Raw genomic sequence first — 15,852 nt, 5'->3', positions numbered from 1 at the left:
CACCTTCCTGAGGGGGCTTCCATCCATGTTTGCCTTCTTTTGGGAAAAAAAAAAAGTGAGGGGGATTTCAGAAAACTGGACTGTGTTTCCTAGCATCTCTATTCTGAAGATGCATTTTCTTTTGTATTTCCTGATTTCTTCATTTATTTCCACCCCAACCCCTCCAACACACATGTACATTACAAACTCACCAGTCTATCCTGGATAGTACAATTGTGGATGAAAAGGAAATCATCTCAGAACAAGTATTTCTAACAGGCAGCACCCTTCCCCAGCACACACAGACAGACAGACACACACACACACACACATCACCACCACCACCATCACCAGCACAACCTAGGGGGCCACTCCCTGGCTTAGCGCATTCTGACCACACACATTATCTGCTCACTCCTCTAAGGACGTTCAATGCCACCAAGGGGACCATCACGGCAGCCTGAAGAGTCTAGACCTGAACAACCAATCCCTCTCCTTGGCAAAAGGCCTCCCTTCCAACTCCCGAGCAGGTACCACATGAAGCACACAGGTGAGCCCAACCAGGCAGACAGAGACCTCCCTCCCACTCCTCCCCATTGGCCCTGCTCCCTTCCCTCCAACTCCTCCACAGCCTCAGCCCAGACCCTGCCCTGGCACATTCTGGAGAAGGTGCCAGTGTGCACAGCAGGTGTGAGTTCAGAGGAAGCCCCTCCACTCACAAGGCCCCACTAGTAGCAATGCAAGCGAGTTTGTGCCCTGCTTTTAGATTCCAAAATCCAGCCTTCACAGCCTGAGAGATGCCACCTGACCACCCCTGTCCTTCCAGCCGAAATCTAAGGCCTCACTTGGAGATAGGCTGAGGCAGGGCTGAGCACTGGCCTGCCCTAGGTCCTGGCAGACAGGCCATGGAAGAGGCTTCTCTCCTTCATATGGACAAATGTTGACCTGCAGAAAACTCACTTGTTTTTAAATTTGCATCAAGTCTCACTTTAAATAATGTTGAGAACAAAATGCAAGCTGATATTTCAGCTTACTTAAAAGGCTTATTAAAAACACTAAATCCAAAGATGTTAAAAAGCTATAATTGTCCTCATTCAGCCTGGAAAAATAAATCTATTTGCTTTCTTCTTTTATGATACTCTTCTTATAAAAAAAAAAAAAAAGTTCATCTATATTCTCATGAGTATCATTGCTGTCTTTCTTCCCCCTCCATTCAAGGCACTTTAAAAACACCTGTGCCATTCACAGCCAACTTTTGAGCAAAAGGCAACCACATTTGGGGAAGGCTGTTTAATTCTGATTTCCTGATGCCAGAGATAAGCTTCTCTTGCTCAAAAGTAAGATGGAGTTCAGAGTTCACTTGAATGGGCTCGTGGAGCTGATGGAAATTTCTTTGGTTACCTAAGGCAAAGCAAACAAACCTAATCATTCAGCTCTTTGGGGTTCAGTGGGCAATGATTCCACATCTCAGCACTGCCTTCAGTACCCTATGGGCAACTGTGGGAAGTCGGGCGGCACCTTCTAGCTGCCTCTCTGTCCTCTCCCATAATGGGGGTTATTGGCCTCTGACTTGGACCAGAACAGCGTGACTGTCGCTCCCTGCCTGCCCTAAGTCTTCCGTGAAGACAGCCCGGCCAGCAGTTAAGTTGCTGAGTTGCGAAGATCTCCAGCCTGCTCAGAAGTTAACCACTCCAGGCACAGAACAAGATGGGCTTTCAGAGCTCTAGTCCAAAAGAATGCAAATTTATTGAAAGTGTTTTCTCCAGGTTCTCCATAATTACCATTTATGTCTCCAGGAACTGTTTCCCCAAACCCAGTTTAGGGTGAAAGCATTTTAGAGACTTTCCCTGCAGATGACATATGAGGTACTAACCTTTTTTCATATGCCCAGATGTTAAGTTCATTTTCATCACATTTATGTAAATTTCATTTGAACAGTAAATCAAAAGAAATCTTAAATCATTGTACACTAGTTAAAAATCAACACTAAATCCGGCTGACTTGCAGTGATATTAACATGAAGACACAGTTAAGGGGCTGAAGGTAGGAGGCAAGTCTTCCATGCAATGGTCTCAGAGTCCCTGCCATTGGTCACATGCAAATATCTCTGCCTGGTCACAATCGCACTTAAGTTTGACCAGATTAAGGGTCTTCTGGAAATGAAAGTCTTAAAAGTTTTCTAAACTTTGGGAAAACGGGTCCCTCAGCCCAGGGGCCTGTCATGTATGTCAGTGTCTGGGACTGAGGCAGACAAAGTCCACAGGCAGAGGCCCAGTGCTGAGACTTCTGGCAGCCGGGTTTCTCCTCAGTGGGGGGAAAAGTTAATTCCTAGGGCTCGGCGGTTCTGCATTTGTCAGGGAGCAGGACGTCAGTGCTATCATTACCAAGCAAATCAGCCAGGCGGTTAATGGTGGAATCAGGAGACATTTGCACTCCGCTATCAGAATGACATCATAACTAAAGCAGCCTTCAGCCAGAAGCCCTGGGCTCTCCCCGAGCAGAGGCCAGAGGGCTGCAGGGGCGACCCCCTGCGACTCCCTGGACTGAAAGCTGAGCCCCCCCCACCACCCGCAGCAGCTTTCAGGGTGGTGGGCGCAGCCCCAGGCAAGTTCCCAGGCTGGCCGGCAAACAAGAACTAGGGTTCTAGTCTTCCCCCAAGCAAATCGACTTTTCCCCTGGGTTCTGAACGCTGTAAATAATCATTATAATAATATTACATATTTTCAATAAAATTTGAGACACTGTGAAACCACTTTCCTTATCAGGCAAGGGTTGGTATTTTATAAATGCAGCTACATTTTCGCTATAGGATTGATGGCATTTCCAACAGAATTGTCAATCTCTCGGTGACCCTGTCTTTAGCAAAGAAGGTCTGCACTCTCCTTCAAGCAAAAGAAATAAATGATGCTGGGGGAAGGGGGACGAGCTAAGGAAAAAGCCCTTCCTGCTCTTGTTTTGGTTGCTTTTCTTTCTGTTTAAAAGCACAGCGCAAACACACACATACATACACGCACACGCAGACACAAACCTTAGAATAATGGGGGAAGCATTTGGCTACAGGCTTGCATTTACGGCGCGGCGCGACCAGCAGCCGGCCCCGCTCGCTCGCAGCTCTGCCCTCAGCGGCGGCCACTGGGACCGACTGCCCGCCCCCGACCCAGGCAAGATGCCCAACTGCGACCGCGCGCCCCCCAAGATCGCCTCCCGAGTCTCGCCACAGGTACACGCGTGGCCCAAACACTTCACCTGGCCCGAAAAGTCAGCAGACGGGGGAAAAAAAAAAAGTTGTGCGAGCAGCCAGCCGGGCAGTCCCGGAGCCCGCGGAGGCCGTCCTCCCGCCGCCCAGCCGCCCAGCCGCCCACACGCGAGGCCGGCCCGGGGCGGCGCGCAGCTCGCGGCACCTCGCTCCCGGCTTTGCGCGCTCACCCCGGGGCGCGCCGAGGCCACCGCAGGGCACTTACTTGGCACTTGCTTTTGAGTGTGCAGATCGTCGCGGTTTTCACTTGGGTTTTCAAACAAGTTTCAGGGAGAAAGAAGGAGGCAAAAAAAAAAAATCCAATTATGCAAATGGACTCCGGACTGGGAGGCGCGGGATGGATCTGACGCCGCTACTGTACGAGTTCTCGGAGCAGCCCCGGGCCGGGCAGATTTATGGGGGCGCGTCACGGCTACGCCAGGTCCCGCCGCCGGAGCATCTCGAAGTTAATTAAAGCGGTAATGTCCACTTTCCTGGCGACCCTCCGTGCGTGGGTTTACTATTTCACCATCAAACCCGACCCCGGCGGGGGCGGGGGCCCTGTCCCCACGCCTCTCCTTCCCTCTTCTGGCCGCCCCCCTCTTTTTCCTCTCTCCGTCTCTCACCCCTTTTTCCTCTCTTTCGTCTCTTTAAGTCGCCTGCCTTCCACTCAGTGAACAATGAACAAAGATGTGAGTGATGGGAAAAGATCGCCCCCCCTCCCAACCCCAGCAGAGAGCAAAGCCGGTCTTAAAGTAAAAATCCAGTTGCTAGTATCAAACTGGGAAAGAAAACAGCGCGTTCCCAGTCTCACCACCCCTTCCACACACACACACGCACGCACATACACACGCACGCACGCACACCCCACCCCAAGTTCACCTAAGCCCTGGCTGGAGACTGGGGCGTCAAGGTCAGGGCGCGCGGGGCTGCCCAACTCGCCGGGGACACCAGGGTTGGGGAACGGCGCGTGCTCTGGTCAGGCGTGCTTCCCGCGCCCATCCCCGCCGGTCCCCTCCGCCGGCCCCCTCCGCGCCTCTACACCGGCCGACCAGGCCCGGCGGCCCGCTCGGGCTGCCCGGCCGCCGGATGCGCTCAGCAAACGCGGCCCCTGTCGGATTTCTGCTAAATTGCACAGCGGCGGCGGCGGCGGCGGCGGCTGCCGGGAGAAGGCGCAGGAGGAACCGGAGGGCCGTACCGCGCGCTCGCTCACTCCGCCCCTCCCGCTCGCCCCTCGCCCCGGCCCCGCCGGCCGCCGGCTCCCACCCGCGCACACGACCCAGCCCCCAGGACGCACCGGGTGCCCGAGCCCCGCAGGCCGGGACACCTCGCAGCTGCCGTATTTTCTGCTAAAGTGAAAACGAAGGCGGCTGACAAATCACGTCTCCGGCGAGGCACCCGTTAGACATAACAATATCTGGCAAACAAAACCCGGCCGCCGCTGCCACCCGCACGCGGGGCTGAGACCCCGCCCTGCTCTTTCTCGGCCCCCAGCCCCTGGCCACTGCGTCCTCAACTCCAACGCTCCCCGCCCCCCAACATTCCAATCCTCCACCTAACTCGGGAACGGTGGACATGTTCTCCAACAGGCACACAGTAGGAACCACTCACAATACAGAAGTGAAAAGGGGGGGACTTAACTTTCCACCTGTCCCCAAAGAAAGCCCTGCCGGAGTTCACTCCGCAGAGTGAAGAGTGAGCAACACAGGTCTCTCTCTGCCCAGCCCTTTTTCTTTCTTTTTCCCTAACTTCCCCGCGTTTCGACCTTCCTCCACTTCACATACATCCGTCTATATGGAGATATCTATATTTTAAATTATTTGCAAAACTGCAACAGATGGGCGCGTCGAGATCTGGACACTTTCCTACTCATCAAAGGAAAGCTCTCCCCCAACCCTAACTTTTTTTTTTTTGCCTAAAATACACCCCGAGTCTCGCCTACGACTGTTTTCCTCAATTCATCTTCGAAAAATAATGTCTTGAAGCAAACAGAAAAAGGCTTATCAGCAAAGATCATTCCTACCCCAGTCATGCATCTGCGCTGGGGGGACGGGAGGCGTCCCCCCAGATTGCACTCTTCCCAGACGCCGCGCAAGCCCTGCCTCTCCTCTGCCTTCCAGAGCCCCCACGCCCGCACTTCCTCGCTCTGATTGGCCTCATTTCTCCAGCCTGGGACTGGCCGGCTCTTTTCCCTCCATAACCTGTTACTTATTTATTTATTTATTTCCTCTTTGGCCCCCGGCTGGGCCCCCAGGCCGAGGCCCGGCTGGGGCAGGTGCTGCGGGCGCCGCCTGCGCTTGCAGGCGCCACGGCCTTTCCTGGGGTCGCGGGTTCGGACCCTGGCACCTCAGCCCTGAAACCAACTCTCCGGCCTCAGCCTGGCCAGGCTCCCGGGGCACAGGAGGCCGATGCAATCACAAAATGGCAGATCTCAGCGGCTCTCGGCGCCCGCAAGTTTGACACATTGTAAGCATCAGCTAACTTTAATTGAAAAAAAAAAAAGGTTGCAAATTACCCTCTCTCCACGGGCGGAGGGGCCGGAACCCCGCAGTGAGCGCGGACCAGAGAAAGAGCGCAAGGCGAACCCCCGTCCCAGGCAGAGGAGAAAATGGGGAAAGTCACTTGAGCAGAAGTTTCCGCGGCCCCAGCCTACCCCCTCCCCTTTTTACTCCCCCCACCCCCCAGACCCTCTTGAAAGTTTCCCGGGGCCTGAGAGTGGCTCGCGGGCCGCTCGCGGGTGGGGGGCGCCGGCCGGGTCCCCGGAGCTGGACGCGGGGTCCCGATCGCGCGCCGGGCGCCAGGCCTCGGGACTCCTTTTCAAAGTAACGGTCCCGGGACCGCGGGCGGGGAGGCGGCGGCCCAGGCGCAGGTCCCGCTCGCCGCCGAAGTTCTCTAGCGCCATACGATGCCCGGCCGCAGCCGCCGGCTCGGTTTTCCTCTTCTTTCCCCCCACCCCCCACCCGCTGACAGCTTCTCTCGCCAACGTCACAGCCACGGATATTTAATTAGACCGTATTTTTTAATCGCGATGGGGCGAGAAGGAACCGGGCGGCAGGCCTCGCCGAGATGGGGAGGGGGAGGGGACGGGGGGGCCGCGCCAAGAGTCCAAACTCACTTTGCCACCTCCCGGACGCCGAAGCTGCCCCCCCACCCGCCGCCGCCCCCCCGCGCCGCGCCCCCCGCACCGCGCCGCGCCCCGCGATCCCCCCCCCACCTTTGTTTTCCTTACCTTAAACATTGAAACGCGGGCGTCAGGAGCAAACTCGGGCACGTAAACGGAGCGTTGTAAAAGATTGTGTTCAATGAATAATGAAACATGCCCACACGATTGACTTGATCATTTTCCGGGGCTGAGGGGGGACGGGCGCCCTGCTCGCGCGCCTCACTCGCCCACTCGGCAGAGCCCTGCGAACTGTTCCCAGCCCAGCCGGGGCAGGGCGGGCTCGATTTTCATCAGCCTCTTTTCAGAATCGCCCCGTTCATTGATACTCATCACCCAGCCCCAGCAGACATCCCCATCCCCGGCTCGGCCTCCCCCTATCTGGTAGGTGAAATGCATTGTACCATTAAAAACGCTCTCCATTGTCGCCCTGGCATAATTCACAGCAACTAGATAGGTCTTGCGGCATTTAGCTTTGATGAGCCAGAGACTGAACCCTTGATATAATAATCTACAAAGAATGGTGTGTGATCGTCCATTTTTTCTCTCTGTCTAGCAACTAAGAAACCATTTAACACAGCGCAGCTTGGTTCTGACCTTGAGCTCATGTAAACACACTTATTAAAATCTATCTATTCTCCAAGAGCTACATTCTGATTGTCAGACTCGTTACTGAGACATATATCAGCCCCTTCCTTGTCACTACTTTGCATTCCTGCCTTTGACTAAAGAATTTTTTATCCAGCCGAGAGGGAGAGAGAGACTGCCACGGAGAGAGAGGAGAGAGAGACGGAGAAGGGGCGAGGAAAAAGCGTAATTCTTACCTGCTCCTGAAACTATTTAAAGTCTGTTTCTTTTCTGGGAGGAAAAAAAAAAAAAAAAAAAAAAACTCCCGGGTGAATCTCGGTGGACAGCGGGACGCGAAGAATCAGTCACAGCCCGGGCGTTTAAGGGAGTCATCAGCGATCAAATGACGTTGATCCGCGCTGTAACCTTGTGGCGTATTTAATGTAAATAAGGCAGTTATGTTGCCAATCGCCGCGATACAAACGCGGAGAGGTCCTCAGCCTCGCCTCCCGCGCCTGCCATTAGAGGCGACTTTATTTACAGACACTATTTAGGAGATCATGATAATTCTAAAACAATACTAGTGCCAAATGATTATGAAAATATGATTTTAATTAATCACGTAGTAGGCAAGGAAATTAGCATACGGTAATTAAACTTCGAGAAAAACGTCACGCAGGTTCTCTGCCTTATGGGTGTAGAATAATCATCATGCGATGGGCTCCAGGACTTAATTATCAAACAAAATAACTTTTTTAAGGCAACTTTGCAAGGCGGGTCCTCTGGGCAAACGTTTCGGTAAATAATATAAGCAGAAGTAACAAGGTGGGGGTGTGAGTGGGGCATGAGGTTGGTTTTCTGGGAAGCTAGGAGGGGGGAAGAAGGAGGAAAAAGCTGGATAATGCAATTATGGATTCTCTGTCCTAGAGTTGACAAAAGCTGGTGCCTCAAAAAGCCTCTTTGTTATGGGATTATATAATGATCCTGGTGTCATTATGGGAAAAAAGATTCAGTAATAATAATAATAAAAGAAGTATCCAGATACACCAATGAGGGGCTTGTTTTAAAGAAAAGCCTCGCATGTGACACTGGGCATGTTAATAGCAAAGAGACAGGATCCAAAAGAGTTGACAAAAAAAAAAAAAAAAAGGATACAGGGAGGGAGAGCGAGGTGGGGGGAGAGAAAGAGAGAGAGAGGCCTGTGTTGCGCATGATTAAGAAGTGATGGAGACAGATTGATTATTCAAAACGCCAAGCCACAGGGGCACTTAAAACATTGATTCAGGTAAGACTTGCTCCAGCCTGCCCGAACTGAGCTCCCCCAAGATGACTGACGGGTTTTAAACCCGGGCATCACAAGACATCAAAAGCAAAGATACAGAAAAGGCATGCCACAGCCTCCCCATCACCACCCCTCTCCAGCTGAAGGAGTCATTCGGTGGCAAGCAACCAGTCCAAGAGTGAGGGGAGAGACACAGAAAACTTTGCGCTGGGAGGAGCGCTGGGTTAGCGTGCCGGCGTTGGAGACGGACGCGTCGCAGCTGCCCTGGGCGCTGGGCCTGGGCCCTCACCGCCGGTGGTCCTCTCCCCAGGCGCGCCGTCGGCGGGCACCGGGCCTTGCCGCTGCCAGCATCCTCGGACCCTGCCCTGAGAACCCAGCGCTCCTTGCTGCTGCTCTCTCTCCCTCTCTCTCTCTCTCTCTTCTCTCTCTCTCTCTCTCTCTCTCTCTCTCTCTCGCCAGGAGTGCACTGGAGGAGTGAGGAAATAATCACTTTCCTCCAACAAGCTAGTTCCAGGAGATTCTTAAAATCCGCTCAAATCTCTGCAGTGGTGTTTTTAAAAAATTCTCTGCCTACCCAAAAAAGTTTAGGAATTCAGCCCACATTTTCCAATCTGATGTGTCTGAAATTCTCTTTGAACAAATACCAAAATACAAGGGTTTTTTTTTTCTTGTATAGAAATTAGCATCGCAATCACATGAATGATATCACTATCTCTATGGGAATGATAGCCTGAGCGGTGGGGTGTTCTTTATTCCAATTCTTCGTGGATCAACTGATTATACTCCGTCGTCTTTTGAACCTGTTATTGTAAGTCAAGTGATTCTTTATAAGTGACAGAGCGGACAAAGAGGCGAGCAGGGCCGAGCAGGTCGAAAGGAAGTGACCATATGGACTTGGAGAAAAGGCACTTTCTCCCCTACAGAATGGGGGTCGCCTTTTAACCCTCGAGCCGCCGGCCTCGCCTGGGCCGTGGGAGGCACGGAGCCCGGCGCGCGTCCTGGCGTCGTTCTGGGGGTCCCTGGCGGTGTCTGGCCGGTCTGGGCCGGGCCCATGGCCTCCAGGCCAGGGGAGCCCCTTCCAGGCCTGGAGGCCCAAGGCTTCTGCGGCCTCGGAGCCCGTGCGTCTCGGGAGGGCCGCGCTCCCGGTGGCCCGGGGTGCTTCGCCTGGGGCGCGCTGCCGCGAGGGGGCTGCCACGGCTTTGCGTGGCCGGGCGGGGTGGGACCCACCGGGCAGAGACAGCGCGCTCATCGGAGGCCAAGCCCCGCCTGAGCCCCGCAGACGGCCGGGCAGGGGGCTCTCCGGCTCCCCCTGTCGGCGCCGACGCCCTCTGCATGCCTCCAGGACCTGAGCAAGCTGAGTGGGGGTCCCCGGGGAGACCTCCCGGCGCGGCCCTTGTTGGGAGTGGGAGGTGGAGGGTTCCAGAAAATGGACAGAGGCCCCTTATCCTCCAGATGCCGAAACTTGACGCCTACCTGCGTCTCATTAAAGTATAAAAGTTCCCCACTGGCTCCCCACCCACCAGCCCCACCCCACCAGGGGTGTTTTGTGGCCGCTTTCATAATTTGTGGCTCTCCTATGCTTTTCCCCGTATCCAGGATTTCTCGGGGTCCCCATCTTCCTCCCTTGGGTCTGGCCTCTCTCTGCTCTTCCTTTTCAAACTCTCGAGTATTTCTCGCTGCCCCTGCCTCGCCTGGCCAGGGCTGGAACCCCTTGGATTTTCGGCAGAGGCTCCCATGGGCCCACCCCTCCCCTGCCCAAGAGTCCTGCACTCTTCAGTACTCGAAGCTGTCTCTAAGGGCAGCCCCTCCCTACCCAGGGGACGTTGACCCGGGCCTTCCACTCCTGCGGAATCCTCAAGGCCACTCCCGCCATTTAATTTCTTGAAACTGATGAAAGTTACTGGGAACTTGGGATGATGAGTTAGGTGGGTGGTGGCTGTGGGTAAAAATCAAGGTGGTGAAATGAGTTCTTTGGTGACTCCTGGACCAGCTCAAAAGCAAGGCTGGGAAGCGCTGCACCAGGCTGGAGCCCATCAGCTCCTTATAAGAAGCGTTCAATCACTCAAAGTGCCTACTTTGAAAGTGATACTGATCACACCAATAGGTTTGTTCTGACCTCTGTCATTCGCGCCTCAAACATGGCAGTGATTCATAAAATGTTATCAAACCATTACTTTGGAGTTGCACTCCTGGTCACAACACTACTCATTTTGTTTGTTTGTTTGTATATTGCTATTCTTTTCCCTTCACTCTCTTCTGCTCCTTATAATCCTGCCTCCTTCATAGTACACCAGGTCTTCTTATAATATTGTTTCCTTCAACATTGTTTCCTTATAATGTAATGAGAAAAAAACATGGATTCCAGCCAGGGCCACTATCTGTGCGGACTGTGTACGTTCTTCCCAGGTCTGCGTGGGTTGTCTCTGGGTACTCACGTTTCCTCCCATGCCCCAAAGACATGCACGGTAGGTGAATAGCCATGTCTGCATGGTGCCAACCCGAGGGAGTGTAGGTATATGTATGAGTGTTCCCTGCAATGAGATGGCATCCTGTCCAGGGCTGGTTCCTGCCCTGCACCCTGAGTTGCTAAGACAGGCTCCAGCCCCTTGAGATGGTGAACTGGAATCATCAGGCTGGAACATGAAACAATGAATGAATATAAATTATTGTCAAATAAAATACATAAAATATATGATAATCATACTAATGTATGCCAAGAAACAGTACAGTACAAAAGTGCTCATAGTTGTGCACTTTCGACTGCACATATTTTGAGTCCACCATATTTGTGATTTTTTGTTTTTCAACTTGGTGGTGGTGAGAGGTACTCCTTACAATTTTCACTTTGCAAACATGTATTCTTTGACTTAACCCATTACTACTATGACCACCCTCACTAATTGATCAAAAACTGGGGTAAGTAATGATCTTACTTGTTTTATTAATGGCTCTTAAATGTATGTATAGCTCATATTTATTTCAATGTTTAGACATGTAGAAGCGCGGTGAAGCTTTGTGACCAGAGACATGCTGTAGGAACTTAACTCTTGTTTGTATCAATCAATCTATGGTAAAACTAGTTTCATTATACATCACTTGCTTAAAGTCAGTTTCCAAGAATCCATCAACAATATTAAGTGAGGACTTGCTGTATAGACAGATTTAAAAGCAGCAGGGAGGGTACCCAAGAGGGCTACATTGGCTCCAGGATGGAAGGGTGGACCAGGACACTTCTGAATCAAGAGGCCAAGTTCCCTCTCCTCTGGAACCTCAGTTTTTCCATCTATATAAAGATGACCTCCAACATCTGTAATACCCCTTTGATCACTCACAGTCAGTGGTTTTAGCACAATGATACCCCTAATCCCCAGGTTATGACTCCCTTCTTCAAGCAGAAGAAAGACGCTAGGTCTGCAAAGGGCCCATGTGTTAGGTGGGGAGTTGGTCTGCATGGCCACAGGGTCCCAGGTGGCCTCCCATGGAGAACCCTGCTTTTCCATCTCAGGGGAGTAGGCGACCATCCTTTACTGGGAGGAAGGCTACCTGGCTTCAGCAAGGAGTTGTCCTGCACTAGGAAAAAGGGTTTTCTATGCTGCAGGGGTCATTTGTCTCTCCACCAAGGCCAAGGTGCAGCCTTTTCTGTCATGAGCAATGCAGTATGAATGACCCTTCAAAGACTCCCTGAGAGCATGATTCAGAAGGGTGCCCTTAGAGGTGGAGGTGATTCCTGAATAAGAAGAAATTGGGGAAGCATCTGATCTGTTTGGCTATTCTGCCATGACCTGTTGGTCCCAGACCCAGGGTGCTGCTGCCCCACAAGCTCAAGAAAAGGTTGTACACCTCTTCCGGTTTTTCCAACAGAGGGAAGAAGTCAGCATAGTGATTCGTGTTGTCCTGGCGGAACATGTCCCTTCCTCCAGCAACAGCTTCACCTTCCCTTCCTGCCTTGCGGGCATCTGGGTGGGGGTCCTGCCCCGGATCCCAGGCAATCAGTGCATCACATCTCTCTGGATTCTGTCATTCAGTAATAGGCATATGGCCTAAGTTGGTCCAATCAGAGTGAATCTTGGACTTTTTTTTTTTTTTTTTTTTTTTGCTAGGTGCTAGTGGAGAGGTTAAACTGCTGGAGAACTGTAGTTTCCATCCCAGCACCAAAAGAACAGAGTCCAGAGTTTTCAGGGGCCACCAAGAGGAGCCAGAGAAGGGTGCCAACACAGTCCGTGGCAGGATGGAGATAGAGAAATGGTGCTGCTTGCCTTGTATGAGCCCTGAATCCAGCCACATTTGAAGCCAGCTCCACCCCAGCACCTTTCTGTTTTGTAAGTGGATAAACTTCCTTTAACTTAATTCAGTTTACTTTGGGTTTTCTGCTATTTGCCACAGAATGAGATCTGATAATAGTTAGCACCTGACAAGAACAAAGAACACCTGGGCCAGGGACCAGAGCGCTCAAAAACAAGGCTGGAACAAGGGGCAGAAAAGCAAAGCATGGTCCCTGGTGTTCTTTCCAGTGAATGGGCAAAGAACTTACCAGAATTCTCTTAAAGCTACAGGTGCACCTTGCTTTGCATTAATAGCTCTGTGCCAGAAGAGATGCTTATAAAGTAAATTTTTGTAAATTGAACCTGATTGCACTGGAAGAGCTGGTTATTTAAGGCATCTCAACAGACAATGTCATTTGTAAAATGAATGGGCGTGTCCTAAAATAACAAATTAACAGTAATTTATTTATAATCCTAATTTTCCTACATCAGGCTTTATTGTAAAGCAGGACCAATGTGGATGTCTTCTTGGTGTCTTTGTATGAGTTAGTCAAATGCAAAAAAAAATGTGCTGAGCGGCTGGGCGCGGTGTCTCACGCCTGTAATCCTAGCACTTTGGAAGGCCGAGGCGGGCAGATCATGAGATCAGGAGTTTGAGACCAGCCTGACCAACATGGTGAAACCCCATCTCTACGAAAAATACAAAAATTAGCCAGGCATAGTGGTGTGTGCCTGTAATTCCAACTACTCAGGAGGCCGAGGCAGGAGAATCGCTTGAACCCCAGAGGTGGATGTTGCAGTGAGCCAAGATTGTACCACTGCACTTCAGCCTGAGTGACAAAGTGAGACTCTGTCTCAACAACAACAACAAAAAATGTGCTGAGGTCTATTGAGTATAATTACAACCTCACACACCCACTCCTTTGCAAGGCTGTGGAACAGAAATGTCCTGAATAGATCCTGGACCATCAACTCTGGGCCCTGCAGTTGTCTTCAACAGCTATCATCGGTTTTGAATTAGGTTTGGGGGAAATGTTATGAAGCTAGCGGACTTTCTGACCAGAATGTGGCCTGTGCTTTGTTTTCCTGAAGAGGAGAAATCAATGAAATAGCCCATAGTAAGTTCTAAATTTGGGGGGCTGTTGAGACTACAATTCAGTTGTACTGAATTGTAACTGAAACAAAATATCAGGTTATGAGACGAAACTGATGGTGGGGATCCCAGAACTTATTTTCTTAAGATGTTGATTTCTCTGGTACTCCCTTTCCCATGCTGTAAATGTGCGCATCATGCAGCACATGGCTGTGACCTGGCCCCTTGCTTTTCCAAAGTCCCAATTTTCAGCCCTGGTTTTACCTGGGGAAGAAGTGCAAATTTTGCTTGCCACTACAAATGAAAGGGAGCAAATATTTATAAAATATAGTTTTTTGGAAAAGGTTACAGTTACCCTTTGGCTCATAGATGTGACCTGGTCTGTATGGATTGAACAGAATCACCAGTAACAATCCCCGGGACTTACACGGGTAAATACGGAGCTTTATCGCCTTGTAGGAAGCATTTCTCTACCAGGTAGCAACTTGAAAACAAATGAAAATGAAAAAGTCAGGCAAAAAGCAAGTCCCTGACCCTGGCCAGTGCCTGAGAGCCCTGTGTCACAGCCCGCTTCCATGGAGAGCTGGCCATGGGCCTGTACAGGGAACAGACTGGAGCTCAGGGTGGGTGGTGGGCCAGGAGCCAGGGAAGGACCATCACTATAGAGGCTTTGTTTTAAATCCTGATTCCACCAAAGGGCTTAGTCGAGTCTGGTGGATTTGGGGGAAAGAGAAAGGGAAGCCTCGGAGCAAAGAGATATGTGCTGAAGGTCAAATGCATGTTGATGGTGCCAGGCTCCAAGAGAGGAGTAAAATGCAATTGGATGGTGCGGTGTAGGGGAAATGGGAGGGGCGGCCCCAAGGGCTGAGCTTGTATCCCTGGAGAGTCTCTGGCAGGCTGAATCTGCACTTGCACCCAAGGTTCCTGAGTGCTGTAGATCCCATGGGCCCTACAAAATCCCCCAGGGGGTCCTTGCAACCTGTACTTGGGATGATCAGCTAGCAGATGGAGACTTGGGGTCTGGCCCCTAAAGGTATAGGAGGGTAAGTATGAAACTGCATTGGTGACCGAAGACAAATTTTTTCATCTGGGTGAGTGTTTGAGATATGGTTGTATCCATGCCAGCTTTTCTGGTCCTCTTCTAGCTCTGAGGGTCCAGATCTGTGGAACTACCTTGGCTACAGTTGCTGTTTCGGGGATGCCATCTAAGACTTTGCTTGTGGGAGCTTCCTTTCTAACCAAGACTCGAAACTTCTCAGAGGGCAGACCCCAAACATGGTTCATCACCAGACCCTAGGCCTAGCCCAATCCCTGGCACCATGCAGATCATTAGGAAATGTTGATGGAACTAATCAAGAAACTAATACTGAGGCAGGAGGATCTCTTGAGGCCAGGAATTTGAGACCAGTCTGGGCATCATAGCTTGACCCTGTCTCTAAAAAAAATAAAAATAATAATAATTATCTGGGTCTGGTGGCACTCGCCTGTAGTCCCAGCTTCTCAGGAGGCTGAGGTAGGAGGATTGCTTGAGCCCACGAGTTCAAGGCTGCAGTGAGCTGTGATCTCACCACTGCTCTACAGCCTGGATGACGCAGTAAGATATCTGCCTCTAAAAAAAGAAAAAAAAGAAATTAATGAATCATATCTAACACTTAAATAATTCATACTATGTGCCAGGCACTTATTTTTGTTTGTTGTTTTTTTGTGGGATTTTTTTGTTTGTTTGTTCTGTTTTTTTATTTTTTGAGACGGAGCGTCACTCTGTCTCCCAGGCTGGAGTGCAATGTGCAGTCTCGGTTCACTGCAACCGGCTAGGCACTGTTTTAAGCACTTTACCTACACTGACCACTGAATGAATGAATGAATGAATGAATGAATGAATGAATGAATGCACATATGAACAGCATTGCTTAAAATGTGTTGCCACCACTAGAAATTAGTTGCAACACTTTAAAATTAATGGTTCTTTTCTCTGATATAAAGTAGTCCTTGATGCACATTGAAGAATAATTAGAAAACACAGGAATGTACAAAGATGATTATATCTTTCTTAATCTCACCCTGATAGCCTTTTGTATCTTTCCTTCCGAGCATTTTTCTGTGCATATCAATTTTTTGCAAACTTTGAATCATTTTTATAAACAATTTTGTGTCCTGCTTTTGTTCTCTAACCTTGTAGCACAAGGTATCTCCCCATGTCATTAAATATTCTTTGAAAACATGATTTTATAGCTACATAATGTTCCATCAAATGGATGCAACATAATTTATTTA

General features: G+C 50.7%; 1 protein-coding gene across 42 annotated transcripts in view, besides 4 other annotated features; it reads right to left on the bottom strand.

Annotated features, from left to right (window-relative positions):
* The window catches only part of ZNF536 (zinc finger protein 536), a 487,995-nt gene extending 481,473 nt beyond the window's left edge, over nucleotides 1-6,522 (bottom strand). For 16 of the 42 annotated variants that reach the window (XM_024451807.2, XM_017027529.2, XM_047439768.1 and 13 more), the window contains exon 1: nucleotides 3,441-3,604. The gene's annotated coding sequence lies outside the window, so the exon portion shown is untranslated. Of the gene's footprint in view, nucleotides 1-3,440; nucleotides 3,605-4,096; nucleotides 4,257-4,511; nucleotides 4,645-5,237; nucleotides 5,427-5,729; nucleotides 5,806-6,443 lie in introns of those variants that run through there. The other 26 variants (XM_047439770.1, XM_011527554.3, XM_047439763.1 and 23 more) reach the window with 13 other exon arrangements.
* Nucleotides 4,058-4,447: a silencer, noted in NCBI's record as "silent region_10476". NCBI's record gives its function as "represses an Ori minimal core promoter by ATAC-STARR-seq in GM12878 lymphoblastoid cells {active_cell/tissue: GM12878}" and the evidence as "EXISTENCE:reporter gene assay evidence [ECO:0000049][PMID:35858748]".
* Nucleotides 8,006-8,506: an enhancer, noted in NCBI's record as "H3K4me1 hESC enhancer chr19:30714515-30715015 (GRCh37/hg19 assembly coordinates)". NCBI's record gives its function as "activates a minimal SCP1, AML or CMV promoter by ChIP-STARR-seq in naive H9 embryonic stem cells {active_cell/tissue: H9 hESC(naive)}" and the evidence as "EXISTENCE:reporter gene assay evidence [ECO:0000049][PMID:30033119]".
* Nucleotides 8,507-9,007: an enhancer, noted in NCBI's record as "H3K4me1 hESC enhancer chr19:30714014-30714514 (GRCh37/hg19 assembly coordinates)". NCBI's record gives its function as "activates a minimal SCP1, AML or CMV promoter by ChIP-STARR-seq in naive H9 embryonic stem cells {active_cell/tissue: H9 hESC(naive)}" and the evidence as "EXISTENCE:reporter gene assay evidence [ECO:0000049][PMID:30033119]".
* Nucleotides 9,440-9,599: a silencer, noted in NCBI's record as "silent region_10475". NCBI's record gives its function as "represses an Ori minimal core promoter by ATAC-STARR-seq in GM12878 lymphoblastoid cells {active_cell/tissue: GM12878}" and the evidence as "EXISTENCE:reporter gene assay evidence [ECO:0000049][PMID:35858748]".

Source organism: Homo sapiens, chromosome 19 (assembly GCF_000001405.40).
Source record: "Homo sapiens chromosome 19, GRCh38.p14 Primary Assembly".
Classification (NCBI taxonomy): Eukaryota; Metazoa; Chordata; class Mammalia; order Primates; family Hominidae; genus Homo; species Homo sapiens.
The sequence above is the reverse complement of the archived record's forward strand: the minus strand, read 5'-3'. Positions and strand labels throughout refer to the sequence as shown.